Source organism: Homo sapiens, chromosome 5 (genome assembly GCF_000001405.40).
Source record: "Homo sapiens chromosome 5, GRCh38.p14 Primary Assembly".
NCBI classification, from domain to species: domain Eukaryota; kingdom Metazoa; phylum Chordata; class Mammalia; order Primates; family Hominidae; genus Homo; species Homo sapiens.
The window spans coordinates 106,935,145-106,951,970 of NC_000005.10; the positions used below are offsets into that span (position 1 = coordinate 106,935,145).

The window sequence follows — 16,826 nt, forward strand, 5'->3', positions numbered from 1 at the left end:
ATTTTGTGCTAGTTTATGGGCCCAGGCATTAAGCGACTGGCAGCCTCCACTTCCTGTGTCTTCTTTTTGAAACCTGGGGCTGCCTAGGAAAGAGCCATCTGATGACTCAGCTGGAGATATCAAAGAAAGAGGCCCTGAGATCCTATGGAGAAGGAAAAAGGCCCAGTTGTGCTCAAACTTCCACTTGTCCCACCAAAGCACCAAGTGTCTTGGACTCTCTAGACCAGTCCGGTTATCAGTTGATTACCACCAAGTGACCTAGGTCAGTGCACTGTAGAGCATATGATCACCCAACTGAGCACTGCCCAAATTTCTAAACACCAAAATTCTGAGGTATAATAAAATGTTTGCTATTTTAACACACAAAGTTATGAAGTAGTTTTTATATAGCAATATATAACTGGAACAATAAATAGATGAAAATGGTTAACAAAATTGAAGATATATTTAATGTATTTTTAATTAAATTTTGACTTTCCATCCTCAAAGCAAAAGAAAACCCTTTCCTAACAAAGCACTATTTTACTAATGTCAATTTTGATATTCTTTATGAGTATTTTATGACTACTCTACCTACACACAATTAGGCTACTATGTCTCACATCCATTAAATACAGTGTTTCCTTAATGCAAAAAGAAATCAGATATTTTTAAAATTAAGAAATGATTTCCCCAATGTTTGAATAGTTATTCATATCACTACAATGTCAAAGATTCACAGTGAGCATATTTTATTAGATGACAACCACCTCAAAAATAACGATAATATTTTTTCAATTATTTTAGTCCCTTTTCATTTTTCAGCCTATAATTCCAATATTTCTGAGACTGAAGATGTGGCAGGCCTCTGGTGGCTTGACTGGCTTGACTAGGCCCCTTTAATAACTTCTGTTTGCTAAGAATGGTGATGTGACATGGGCCTGCATAGAGAAGGCCTGTTTGATATTACCTTTCCATCTCAGTCCGGTGGTGTGACCGAGACTCTTAGCTACATTGCTTTAGGCCTCCTGGCAAGAGAAAACCTGTTTAATTACCTGCCCCAGCTGTACTTACTAAGTGGAATGATTATTAAATCTGTCTCTCTATTTCACAGTTTCAGTATACAATTTAAATCTATGCCAAGACGAATGGAGGTCATAGATTCTGTAGGAGTAGACAGGACTAAAATCATCATTGTGACAGGTGTCTTAAGAGCATTGTGGTCTAAGGCTCAGCCAACCCTCTGTCCTCTAATATAAAAATAGGAGGTTCTTAGATGCTCTGCCAACTTTGTAACTGCACATAACGTCTCATCATTTAGCCATGTTATTGTCCAGTTCATGTTCAAAGAAGGATAATAATACTTAACCTTTTCTCCTCTTTACCTGCTGACATATCATTTGAGTTATTTGTTCTGAAGTCTAAAGACAAGATAAAATCACCAACTTTGTGATGGTTAATTTTATGTGGCAACTTCACTGGACCATGGGTTGTCCAGATATTTGGCCAAACATTATTCTGGGTGTAACTGTGAGGGTGCTTCTGAATGAGATTAACAATTGAATGGGTAAACTGAGTTAAGCAGATTGCCCTTCTAAATGTAGATGGGCCTCTTCCAATCAGTTGAAGACCTGACTAGAACAAAAGGATGAATAAGGGAGAATTCATTCTCTCTGCCAGTCTCTGAGCTGGGACATCAGTCTTCTCCTGTTTTTGGACTTGATCTCAGACTGGAACTTACACCATCAGCTCCCCTGTTTCTCTGGCCCTCAGACTTGGACTGGAACTATATCATTGGTTCTCCTGGATCTCCGACTTGCCAACTGTATATCTTGGGACTTCTCAGCCTCCGTAATCACATAGGCCAATCTCAATAAGTAAATAAATATAGATATCTCCTATTGGCTCTATTTCTCTGGAGAACCCTGCATAATATATTTTTGTTTCTCTAATATGCAAACTCTGTTCATCTGCTTCTCAGAGTTTATTGCTATGATAACTTTATTGGCAGAGGAAACCAATGTATATCCTCAGGGAAGACTAAAGTGGCCTGCTTCCGTAATTCCTTCTTTATTATATACAGTAATGCAACTTTTGCATCTTTTACATTCTACCCCATAATATATCCAAGCTTATCATAATATAAAAAATGTTTTAAATTTTTAAACATTTGTTTGTAATAGATTTTTCAGAAAGATTAAATGTGCTTATTTGATAGTTTACCCTTTTGCTTTAAATATTTCCAGCACACTCCTTAGAGGTAAGCACCAATGTTTGAGAAGTATAATCTAATTTTCACTCATACTTTTCTAAAAATGTTATTTGTCATTTGTAAAAGCCCTTTGTTGTCTAATTTCATAACATCTCTCTCTTTTATGGTTTTATTTATATATTTTAAAAATCATAGGTAAATTAAATTTCATTCTTGGCTGTAGACTTTAACATAATGCTTGTTAAATTTTGCAACCAGAAAGTAAACTAACTTTGTCATTAACTCTACTTTCATCAGTTATTATATGTGTCAACAAAAATGCAAGTTTAATAATGCAGCTAACCATTTTAGACCTTCAATAATTAAAATTTATTTTTATTTTACAATTTTTGCTGTGAATTTTAAAGCAAAATAGTAAGGGCCTCACAAGGGCAATTCTTAGGTTAAATGAATAATGCACTAGACCAAGAGAGCTGACCAGAGGTTTGCTGTATATTCTTTTTACCATATATGCTAGACAGAATTTGATGTGACTCCAAATTATAAAACTGTAAATCATAAAGACAAAGACTTTGTCAATAAGCATTTATAAGGTTAACAAGGGAAAACCTGCCCCCTTTCCTAACCCCACCAAACCATAAAGTTTTTAGTACAGGTAGAACACAAGCCATAAAGCATGCAAATAATGCATTATTATTGGGGTATTCATAAAAGCTTCGTAACCAGCTGAGTTGTCTTGAGCAAACCACAAGAGATAATACAAATATTGAACAAAATATGGTAATTTAAATATGACTTTATGCTCTTCTTTACTGTAATTTTGCCCAGCTATATGGAAATGTCACAGAGCCTTTGTGTAATCTTTGGGATCCAAATCACAAAACAGAGAATTAATGTGATGGAGGAAAAATACACTTAGAGTTTATTGTGTGTTTGATTCTAAACTCTGTAACTCATTTTCTCTGTTATCTTAGACTCATCATTTCACTCTCTTGATGTCACTTCATCTAAAAAAATAAAGGGTTTATTCTTGAATGATCATCTGAAAGTTTTCTTCCAACATTCCATGCTCATGGATAGGAAGAATCAATATCATGAAAATGGCCATTGTGCCCAAGGTAATTTACAGATTCAATGTCATCCCCATCAAGCTATCAATGACTTTCTTCCAGAACTGGAAAAAACTACTTTAAATTTCATATGGAACCAAAAAGAGCCCGCATCGCCAAGACAATCCTAAGCCAAAAGAACAAAACTGGAGGCATCACACTACCTGACTTCAAACTATACTACAAGGCTACAGTAACCAAAACAGCATGGTACTGGTACCAAAACAGAGATATAGACCAATGGAACAAAAGAGAGCCCTCAGAAATAATACCACACATCTACAACTATCTGATCTTTGACAACCCTGAGAAAAACAAGCAATAGAGAAAGGATTTCCTATTTAATAAACGGTGCTGGGAAAACTGGCTAGCCATATGCAGAAAGCTGAAACTGGATCCCTTCTTTACATCTTATACAAAAATTAATTCAAGATGGATTAAAGACTTAAATGTTAGACCTAAAACCATAAAAACCCTAGAAGAAAACCTAGGCATTACCATTCAGGACATAGGCATGGGCAAGGACTTCATGTCTAAAACACCAAAAGCAATGGCAACAAAAGCCAAAATTGACAAATGGGATCTGATTAAACTAAAGAGCTTCTGCACAGCAAAAGAAACTACCATCAGAGTGAACAGGCAACCTACAAAATGGGAGAAAATTTTTGCAATCTACTCATCTGACAAAGGGCTAATATCCAGAATCCACAAAGAACTCAAACAAATTTACAAGAAAAAAACAAACAACCCCATTGAAAAGTGGGCAAAGGATATGAACAGACACTTCTCAAAAGAAGACATTTATACAGCCTACAGACACATGAAAAAATGCTCATCATCACTGGCCATCAGAGAAATGCAAATCAAAACCACAATGAGATACCATCTCCCACCAGTTAGAATGGCAATCATTAAAAAGTCAGGAAACAACAGGTGCTGGAGAGGATGTGGAGAAATAGGAACACTTTTACACTGTTGGTGGGACTGTAAACTAGTTCAACCATTGTGGAAGTCATTGTGGCTATTCCTCAGGGATCTAGAACTAGAAATACCATTTGACCCAGCCATCCCATTACTGGGTATATACCCAAAGGATTATAAATCATGCTGCTATAAAGACACATGCACATGTATGTTTACTGAGGCACTATTCACAATAGCAAAGACTTGGAACCAACCCAAATATCCAACAACGATAGACTGGATTAAGAAAATGTGGCACATATACACCAAGGAATACTGTGCAGCCATAAAAAAGGGTGAATTCATGTCCTTTGTAGGGACATGAATGAAGCTGGAAACCATCATTCTCAGCAAACTATTGCAAGGACAAAAAACCAAACACCGCATGTTCTCACTCATAGGTGGGAATTGAACAATGAGAACACTTGGACACAGGAAGGGGAATATCACACACTGGGGCCTGTCATGGGGTGTGGGGAGGGGGGAGGGATAGCATTAGGAGATACACCTAATGTAAATGACAAGTTACTGGGTGCAGCACACCAGCATGGCACATGTATACATATGTAACAAACCTGCACGTTGTGCACATGTACCCTAGAACTTAAAGTTTAATTAAAAAAAAAAAGAAAAAAAGAAAGTTTTCTTCCAAGTTTAGAGTTCTAAAAGTCTCTAACAGTTTCTGTATGATTGGATGGTTTTGAGGATCAAATAACTGATTGTTCTAATTTATGCAAGCTTAGCACAGAGTAAGTTATCACAAAGTGAGTGTTCTGCAGATCTTCCTATGGCTAATTTAGCCCGTCTTATGCTACACAACTTTAAACCATAAAAGGTTAGGCTTACATTATGCTTTCAATGTAATTCACTAGTTGTCATCAATATTTGGTTCTCCTTTCCCTCTGGGCATACTGAAGATTGCATGTTTTAGGCTTCTGTGTAAATCATAAGTTGGATGAAAACACGTGGCTGGTTCTGACCAAAGAAATGTGAGTAGAAGAAATGTACATTACTTCTTGACTGAGGTAGGAAATGACCATGGACAGCTCTCCAGGCTTTTCTCACCCTGTGCTGGGACATCTTCCTTGCTGCAGGTAAAAAATGGTGACATCTGTGGCGGTCTGGGTCCCTGAGTGCTTTTGTGGGGCAGAGATCGCTCACAATCCTCATGCGGTGTGCACTCCATGAATGAGAAATAAACTTTCTGTGAAACCACTGAAACTTGTAGTTGCTTTTACCGCAACAGAACAGCCTATCCTGAGTAACTTGCTGCATGCCATTAAAATTAATTCACACACTTCCTGAGGGGTATATTTAGCGCTATCTTTCTCAGTACCACTCAGATAAAGTTATTTATTCCTTCGCCTTCAAGCTCGTCATTAAACCACAAACCAACTTGGTTAATAATTAATATGTTTACCTCCTAAATACCTCCCACATAAGCCCCTTCCTCTCCAATTCCACCATTACTCCCCTAGTCCAGGCCATCATCTATTCTCACCAGATTATTGCTATAGCCTCCTGGCTAGTCTCTCTGCCTCCAGATGACCCCACTCAGATCTCTCTTCATTTTACCTGTGGTTAAATCTACAGGGCAACTTTGTCTTACCAGCCTCCTTTAAAAAAACCTTTCAAATGTCAAGAGTCAAAGCCTAGCAGTATGACATCTATGTCCTTCCATGACTTGGCCTGTTAATCTCTCTACTTTTATTTCCTACCATTCTTTGCCTGGAAAGATAACGTAAAGCAAATATTGAGTTAACTTTAGTTCCATGCCGTGCCACGCTGATTCATGCCTCTGGCATTGCTCAGACTATCTCATCTAGCTAGAATGACCTCCCATTCAATCTCCATCTGCTTCATTGCTGCTTATTCTTCAAGATGCAGGTCTTAAACTTCACCCTTGAGGTGCCAGGCTGTGTTGTGCCCCTGTATGTTGCTACACTTACTCTGTGTATACTGCTAAGCCTGCTGTTATTCTGGCATAAAGAAATTGTCTCTTTTACGTATTAGACCCAGAACATCTAGAGGCAAGGCTATGTGCATCCTATATCTATGGCATATTTCCCACCTGATAACACAATGCCTACTAGTGCTCTGTAAATGTTGGGTGAACATTCCTTGTCTGAGGGTCACTACTCCTAGTACCCTAAACTTTCATTCTGCCCCCTGCTTCAGCCTTTATTTGCCCCTACTTTTGACATCACGTTGCCTTCTCAATAGCACTCCTTCTGATTGTGCTTCCAGTCCAGTTCCCCTGCTGAGAAGGAAGCCCTGCCATAGCCATGCCCCTCAACATGGGCTAACCTTGCCTTGTTCTTGTGAATTCCCTTTCGTTTGGCTAAACTCTCTCCCAGTAAGAGGAGGAACCCTACCATGCTAAGAGGAGGAACCCTATCATGAACAAACGGATCACTTGTGATTCACGATGCAGCCCTCCTTCTGATAAGTACTGCCCTTTTCTTAGACCTTCCTTCCCTACTCCACCTCCTGGATTGAACTTTTCATATCTAGCTCTAGTCCAAATCAGGCCTAAAAGACCATAGTTCTAGCATCTGTTTTTCAAAGTGAATCACTCTCCTGCAACAGGGACAACCGTTTTGCAGCTTCTACTTGAGCTTCAGCACCCTACAAAATACTTTTTACAAAGTACTTAGCAGGTTGGAGGCCCAGTTCTCAAATATTTTTCCATGATTTTTGAGGGAAGGAGCAGGAAACAAAATTCATATATATGTGAAAATTTTAAGAAAAAAATGTCAGTTTGGTTGTAGGTGATATGACGATGTGGTCCAGATTAAAAAGAAAGTTTTCAAAGCAGCGAAACACCAGTGTGTAGAGAAATTGAGACCAACTGCAATAGTATCTGCATCATACTTTTTCAAATTAATGTCTTCTTTAATCTGGACAATGTCATTATTTTCAGCTATTTCACACTAAAAATTTTATAAAGAGGAAATGGAAATTTTATAATTATTATAATTTTATAATTGAAATAAATTTATAATTAATTTTGTAATTATCGTTCATTTTCCAGAAAGAAAGCCAAAGACATCCAGTCACCATTGCTGCTACTGAGAAATGTCTGTGATGTTCTCAAGGATCATTGAGTGTGTTCTCTATGGTTGAAGTTAGAGTCCGTGTTTTAGGGTTCACCTGGAGCCCTTTCCTGAAACTAATATATTCCTCATCTGCACTTCATCAGCAACCATTCATGAAAGAAAGAGACACTGGCCAGTATCAGGACTGCAAAAACAAATGCAAAAGCCCCAATTTCATGAACAGTAAACCTCTGAGGCTCAAAAGGGCCCTAACTTTATTTAATGCTCTGTTGTCAACCTCTTGAAAATCTTAAAAATTTTGTACAAGGGACCCACATTTTCACTGTGCATTGAGTCATACAAATTAGTTCATCTTGGCTGAAGCAGTGATTATGAGTTTCTCCTGACACCTCCCATTAAAGTGTCATCAACCATTCACAAGTATCTTATAGCATATGAATCTAGGGGTATATGTGAAAAGTGAGAGAGTTAATTCTTCCTTACCTATTTTCCTTGACCTTTCCAAAACTGCTAGGAATTATGTAAGAGCTAGATAAAAAGAAAAAAAAATGACCCAGGAAACATAGCTGTGCTCATCAATATAATCTATGATAAATATGAAGCCTTATGTGCTATTAAAACATTTAATTAGGAAAAAAAGACAATTTCTAAACTCAAAGATTCCTCCTGCTTAGAAAACCTACAGATGAAAAATTACACAATCATCTCGACAGCGGTTAATGTGCTCCTCTTCCTTTGTAATCATAACTGCAAGTGTTGTTAAAATTTTAGTTATTATACCAACATAAAATTAAATTTAAACTATTTTATTTATTGTTCAGCAAACTGCAACCCAGTTAAGAATTGTTGCATTGTAAAAAGTTGTACCTTTTTTAAAATAATTCATTGAGCCTTCCTTTTAGTAGCCTGGATCAGAACAATTCCATTTGTTATTCATTCAGATTCACGTAAATGTTCCACAGTGTTTTACCATTAAAGGACTCTTAAAATGAACAGCAATATTTGCTTCTCTCCTTTTCTAAGCAACTCTTTATTTCATGTATTATTTGAAGAAGGTTGTTATGATCAGCAGACAGGAGCTAGTGAAAACATAATTTTTAAATCTCAAATGGTAATCCTTTTCAGTCTTGTAAAGACTGCTAGCCTTAATTAATGTCTCCAGTATGAAGTGAACTGTTATGTCTGAAGAGAAGCTTTCTTTAATCTTTCTTATACTCTGAGGATCTAAGTATGATTAAGAACTTAATTCAAAACATGACACAACTAACATATTCATTCATTCACATAGTCACTGACTCGAAAAGTACTAGTTTAGTTGTTGCTATGTGCAAAGCATTGACCTTAAATATAGGAGATATGAAGACAGTTAAAAACAGACATGATTCCTAATCTAGAGTACAAATCTAGTGGAAGATATAGCACTTAGTAAAGTAATGATAAAAATGAAAGCAAATCTCATCTGTGGAAAGTAAAAGAGAGAGGTCCTCAGTGCTAGGAAACATATAGAGGAAGTCAGATGGTATCTAAAGTAACATACTGAGTGGTGATCAATAGTTTAATATCTAGATGTAAGATATTTCTATAAATTAGTAAAATAAAGATTAAATAACTCCATATAATATTGGGTAGAATAGTTGAATAGGCAGTTCACAAAAAAAGAATATTTTTTTCTTTTTATCAAAACAATTTCAAAATTAATAAATAAAATATGCAAAATACCAAACATCATTTGTGATCAAGGAAATGCAAATAAAAACATATACCATATATTGACATGACCAAGTTTTGGGAAGCAAGTAGAAAAATGGAAGCTCCCACTGTAGGTGGAGGGTGAATTGGTAAATCTATATTAGAGAGGAATTTGACAATATCTTTTAAAATTGACAATGTTTAAGCCCTCAACCCAGCTCTAGTACTCATAGGTATGTGTCCTAGGAAAACTTGAGCATAAGCAAATTATAGAACAATGTTCACTGAAGCATTATTTATAATATAGAGAAGATAATGATAATTAAATTATGCCATAATCATGTAATACATGGCAATTAAAGAAAATAAACTGAGTCAACATGCATAAGTCTACAAAAGACATAATGTTAAAGTAGCTGACTTTATGTAAACTTTATGAATCCATGCATACAAATTGCAAATATTGTGAAATATTATATTCTTACACACATTCAGTGATCTTTCACTATCCAAATTTTTGCTATTCAAATTTAGGAATTGATGAGATCTGGTACATTTCTTTATAAATCTCTCTCTGTCTAAACTGTCATTACTTGCTATTTGAAATTCAGAAACCAAATAGATTTAGATAATATGCTATTCTTTGCTCCATAACCCTATATCCAAATTCAGATAGAGATTATAATTGCATAGAGAGGGGAACTTTTCATACAAAATAATTGATGGGAACCTGCTAGATTCAAAACAGTGGTTGATTTCTGGTTAGGAGGGAAGATAATGAAATAATAACTTTGTAACTCTCAATGCTTCTGTAATACACTCAATGTTTTTAAAAATTCCGGAACAATTTACCAAAATATTTAATTTGATAAACAATGTGTAAATGACATTTGTGTTATTATATATATATATAATTTCTTTATGTTTAAAATAATTTAGAATTTGCAAAAAAACTGTAATGAAATCATTCGGATATGAGGTGAGTTAAGAATATTGCAGATGGAATAGCATACGCAAAGACTTGTGGCAGGACAGAACATGGCACATGCAAGAAACTTAACCAATTCCTCTGCTACTGAGGGGAGAGACCATTGAGGGCAGGGATGTGAAAGGGTTCTAGGGCCTATTAGGATCTGATGGCGTCATTCTAAGAGCAAAGTGAAACCAGTAGAGAACCTCAGATATGAGTCTATGGAGGTTAGGGATAGTAATAAGATTTACATTTTAAAAAGATTTAGTATCATTGCAGCGTGAGAAATGAATTAGAATGGAGCCAGGGGGAGTCACTGATCGTTTGAAAGGCATTGCAGTACTCCAGATGATTAAGAAAAATAATGAGTAGGACATATAAAATTAGAATAAAAACCTGAATAAGATATAGATGTCAAGCTTGACACCCTAATATACTTACTGGAAGATGAAGAGAATTACACAAAAAGTAAATGAGTCTGATCAACAGATTTGAGTATTCTTGAATCTAAAGTGGGAAATCATTACCAAAAATAGTCATTGGAGCATATTATCAGTCCCTTAATCTCAAAAGGAAAGATATAGTATAAGGTAATGCCTTCTGCCTAGAAGATCTGAACCAGAAAGTATCAGCTGATAATTATTATACTGTTTTATTTAGATCTCTATGGACTCCAAAATAAAGAAATGTCTGATGTTAGAGGTATTGGATCTTATCACTGAAGTCTCAAATCAAATATCACCTCCTCTAAGAGATTTCTTTGACTACTCCTCGTATGACACCAACTTCATATTTGCTCTATGAAATCAACACATGTAATAATCTCGACCCCCTAGTAGAATACAAGTTCTGGGAGGGCAGGATCATCATGTGTTTTTAAATGCTCCACCTCAGTACCTAGAGCAGAGTAAGTGCTCAATAAATACCTGTAAAATGTATGAGTGAATAATTTCATAGGTGCAAGAGAAGAGAGAATAACAGAAAGATTTCACTTATCGATGCCCCTAAATTTTGAGAAAAACTAAACAAAAACAAAGGTAGAGAAAAAGGCTGAGTAATGCCTTTCAATATATTTATAGATTCTTTCCTCAAAAGAGCTCACCTTTTCAGAGATAACAGCCTTATTATCCATTACACATCAATGTGTACATTGGCATTCAGTATGGAAATTCCATATGCATGTAGTCCATTTCATAAATTTTGGTGTCATGCTTTACAATTAATAAATATTTACTACCACCATTGTCTACTTCAAAAGCTGAGGAGCACATTTAAGGCTCCTCGGGAGACATAAATATTTCATGTTAAGCATTCTATGTGACAAGTACAAAATATAACAACAAAATTTAACAGGCGGAGCACATTTAACATAATCAATCATGTCCTAAGAGAAGTATTACAAATAAAATGGATGAGTTCAACATTTCTGGGTCAAATATAATTGTTACTGTGCACTTACATATTTGCTAACAGTAGGGTAAATAGAAACAGAAGGTCTAAAACATATTTTAATAAAATACAACACTGTATGTAAAGATAAAATTATTAAATTTATCATATCATGCATATTGAGAAGTAATTTTTTTAAAGAGTAGGCTCAAAGTATCTGAATAATTGCTAAGTATAACCACACATTCAGAAATTCCCTACTGGTCAATAAAAGCCCCAAATTTACAGATTTCTTGATGTGTTGTCAGAAGGAATATATATGCAGTAATATATAACCCCAAAATCTCAGTGGTTTGATACAACAAAAGTTTATTCCTCATACATGTTAAGTCCATATGGGTCCAGACCGCTTCCTAGGGCACCTGTCCTCCATGTAGTAACTCAGGGATCCACAATGTTTAATCCTATAATTCTGACATCTCAGAAAATAGTGTCAATAATTCCCACATGCGAGGAAAGAAAAATACTAGCTGATCACTAAAAGGCTTTTAATTTCATTAGCCTGGCAGTGGTATACATCACTAAACACACATTTGATTGGCCAGAACTAATTTTGCATGATCCTGCTTAACTGCAAGGTGTTGGAAAATGTAACTTTTTGTGTGCTTAGGGAAAAAAGTGAGAACCACGCTTGATTTTTTTAAACTCTAAAACTCTTCATAATTAGAATAATAACATATACAAACCCATCACAGATTAAGCCAAATAGATTTCCCATTTAAAATATATATTCTGTATAATCAGGGAAAATTATCATTCAAGAGTTTACAGAATACAGATGGTAAGAAACAGCCCTAACATCTAATTTGATGTATGATAGAATTTAGTTGGCAGATGTGGGAATTACTTTCCAAAAGAACATTTGGTCAGCATCAAATTGTAACCATATAAGCAGACTTTTACTCTGTGGCACAACTAAATCAATCTTCAGCACAAATTTTTAACATCACTCATTGAGTCCAAGAGGAAATTTCCAGTGAGATGTAGAAAGACAATCAAGAAAAAGATCTCAGGGGTAGAACTCAAGCTATCATATTATTAAATATACTAAATGAAGTTAGATTTTATAAAACAAGTTTATTAAAGCAATGAAAAGGAAAATTAATTTGACAAATCCAAAATAGATTCTAGGGATTAGACATATCTCTATTTTCAACATTATTTTCTGTCTTTAAAATGCATTTTCTCCTCAAATATCCTCAGAAAGTTTTAAAAATTGATAATAATTCTTCAATTTTTCATCAGAAAAAAGGAATCCTTAGCAAACATTAAACATAACTGTAGAGCAGAAAATTCAAATTGCAGAAATATATCCAGAAAGTGACTCAAGTATTTATTTGACTTTTATATTTTAATCTGAACATTTAATTTGAGCTTGTGATATTAATGAATTCCAAAATACAGATACCATGTTTATTCTTTTCACTTAAAAACTAACCATTTTTAGAGTAGAGTAAATGTTGCTAATTTTACAATTCTCCATTTAAAATACACTTTTATTTTTATAATACTTTTCAAAATATTATATTTCTGCACATTTAAACCTGCTCAATGAATTTATCTGATGCATGTTTTCATGTTGATGATATTAATTACAATTTACTGGCCAGGCATGGTAGCTCATGCCGATAATCCCAGCACTGTGGGACACTGAGGTGGGAAGATCACTTGATACCAGGAGTTTGAGACCAGCCTGGGTAACACAGCAAGACACTCTTCTGTATTCTAAAAAATGAAATAAAATTTAAAAAATGACAAATTATGGCTCTCTGACCTTTTCCAACAATTATTGTCTGAGTTTTGCTTTCTACTACATTCCCAGTAGACATGTGAGAATAAACTGTGCTCTCTTGGAATGAGGTGGTTTGAATAATATTACTTTAACAAATCTATTGATCAGACAATAAAAATTTGAGAAAAAGCACTTGCAGTGGTTTTTGAACCATTCAAATAGAGAAGACAAACTATACGAAAAAGCATACAAAACACAAATAAAAATAATAATAGACAATAAAGTTTAGTTGATAATAAGTGTACATATAATCCTGTAGAGAATACACAACTTTTTAGTTACATGAAACAATTTTTAAGATGTATTATTTATTTGTCACAAAGAAAAACCTCAGTGAATCCAAACAATACAAAGCATGTGAACACAATGTTTATACTACAATGCAGTAGGTCTAGAGGTTAATAACACAAATATAGATGAAGAATAAGAAAATGAAACCACAAAATCATATTTAATTCATCTACCCAACCAATTAGCAATATAATGAAAGTAATATATTCATATACTATTCATAAATACAATAGTTTCTAACATTTTAACAGAAGAGATTAAAATAAATGGGGGAATAATTGGGGAAGATTTTTAAATTTATAAATGTTTGGTGTCCATGAGATTATATATTAATATTTTATATACTAATCTAATGGATTTTCTGAAAAAAAATAGAATTCCCATAATTATCTCAAGAATTAGAAAATCAAATCAAATCAGACCAATGACAATAAATGAAGTAGAAAAACTAAGAGATAAATATCTCTAAAATAATATCTTGTCTCTACAACTTACTGGTAAATTCACACAAACATTGAACATTGGATATTTCTCACCCCTTACAATCTCTTTTAGAAGATAGATATAGTTGGATTAAATTTTATGTATTCCTCATGACATAAAAAATAGACAAAGTTAGCACCAAGAAAATGTTACAGAACATAAATCATATTTTAAAATCCCAAGTGGAATTGAATTTATTGACTTATTAAAAATTAATCCACCACAGACAAATAGTTTCTCCCAGAAATGCTAAAATATTTTTGTACATATCATAACACTAATTAGCCCTAAATGAAAAAGTATATGATCATCTCGTAAGATGCCCAAAACTTATCTGATGAAACTTAACCATCATTCCGGGAAAGACTTAAAAGAACAATAGATGAGCACTCCCTGAAAAACGCTATAGAATGAACAAACCATTATACACTTATGGACAAGTATTAGAGGCATTTTCAATAGTATGTTTTTTAAAGTATCATAATAAGTGTGCCTACTGTGCTAATTACTTTTTAACCTCATTCTAGCCAATGCAATAAGACAAGAAACAAAAGATGTAAAGACTGTAAAGTCAAAATTATCATTATGTTTAAGATTGACAGTCTATCTAGAAAACCAAAGAAAAAATACTAAAATACAATTAGACTTTAAAAACAAACTTATTAAGGTAATGAATACAAAAACTAATTTACAAATCCAAAATACATCTAATAAACTAGGAGTAACAATTCAAAAAATATAATTAAGAAGAAAACTAAAAAATAGAAAATGAACAAAAATATGTGAATAACATATAGAGAAAAATATCAAATTTTTCTAAGAAATATAAAACCAGGTTTGACTATATAAAGAGATATAGAAATTGCTAGATGCGAATAATGAGTGTTATGAATATGGTAATTTCCTCAAATTTAACATAATTCCAATTAAAATCCACATTAAATCAGTTTGAATTTGATAAAAATCACATTTTACAAAATGATTATGTAAAACAGAAGAATTTTGAAAAAACAAGTCATAAAAGGAAATAGGGATCAAATTAGATTCCCATGAATTCATCCACATATCTCATAAAAAGAATGTAGTTAAAGCTTATAATTAAAATGGGCCTGGCAAGCCAACCAAAAAATGTTCTAAGATCTTCTAATTCATCCATTTTGTATCAACTTGGTTTACTTCTGGGAAATGTTAGTTGCTTAAAGAGAAGCATTAACAAAATAGCATGCAATGAAGAGAAACAGGTTTAGAATTTCATTAATATATACAGAGACTTTAAGAACCTGCCCACAGAAATGAAATTTTAAACCAAATATAACAGTTTTTTAATTTAAAAAATTTACATTCTTTTACCAAGAAAAAAATATATGTTTTTTTCTCTGTAAATGAGAATATTTTTAGAGACTATTGCTTAATGGTTTGCTTCCAGTTTAATGTGATTTTAATCTTTACCTCTCATTTGAAATAAACTTAACACAAACTTTATGAAATGTCTATAATTTTAATTATTTTCATATGTAAAGTCTATTTATTTGCAATTAGCATGAATTAGGAAAATGTTAAAGGACTTAATTTACTCTGACAGTAACACAATAGCATGGATTTTAATACTCTTCAGAAAAGACATAGTATAATCATAATCGGTGGGCCCCGCCTTTCTCCTTTTATTCTGAGATATTATCATTTCACAGATATGATTTCAAATCAATATTTAGGTTATATATAATATTTATTACATACATGATTTTAATTTGAAAAAAAAGAATATTTAAAGGCTTATATGTACATATTTGGCATTCATTGCTCTTATCTCACAAATTCCAAACCTTAGGAGAGGCAGCCACTTTCAAATCTTACTTATTTCTTCTCTGTAATGCTGAGATGAAGCTAATAAAATCTTGTTATATTTGTACTTTTTGAATTTTATATATTTCTAATCTTTACATTCTAATATTTTCTGTTTTATCTTTAGCTGCTACACTGTTTGTTTCCTATGTATTTACATCTATAATATCTTCTTCATTTGTACTTTTAATGTATATATTGCCCTTTCTTAATCCCCTCAATGCTTTTAATTGTACATTCCAACTTGTTGGACAATAACTGTACCATTTTTATTTTCTTTGGGTTTCAAATGCCTGTTAACTTTTTTGTCCACCCCTTTGTTTTTCATTTTATTTTTATTAATGTTATTATTATTTTAAGCATATTCCTTGAAAACAGGATGTATTTGAGGTTTGTTTTCTATTCCAATTTGTGTCTCTTTCTCTTTTGGATAGTTTCAGACTATTCACAGTATAATTTATCATATTTTCCATTTTATTCAAACTTATTCTATTAATTATTTTAGATTTTATTTTCTCCTTAGTCTATTTCTTGAATGATTATTCTATTGTTTGTCATTCTAGGTTTCTCCTGATTAGATTGAAGATTTTGTAATTCTTCCTTTCTATTGTTATTCCTCTCACTATTTTCTTAAATACACACGTAATGATTCTATTATTTGTAAACTGGTTACCAACTAGTCCCTCACCAGAATTCACTGCCTCTCTCACCATGGTATTCTAATTCCCATCTTCTTTTGCTTTACTCCTTTCTCCTATAGAATAAAACCTTTAAAATAGATTTATACCTCTCTTTATTATCCTTCTCATGATACATGAGACCTTTGGAACATTTTAATCTCCTTCTTCCCTAAACTCCAACTGACAGGTTTTGCAAGGGTAGTTTGTAGTTAGAATTTCTCTCACAGAATGTCTCTTCTGTTTTACATGATCTTATTTAGCACTTGCAATATATATTTTCAGGCGGTTTATCCTTAATCATTATACTT

General features: G+C 33.5%; 1 long non-coding RNA gene across 1 annotated transcript in view; it reads right to left on the reverse strand.

Annotated features, from left to right (window-relative positions):
- LINC01950 (long intergenic non-protein coding RNA 1950) overlaps window positions 1-16,826 on the reverse strand; it is a 195,818-nt gene that overhangs the window by 119,948 nt on the left and 59,044 nt on the right. The window lies entirely within an intron of this gene.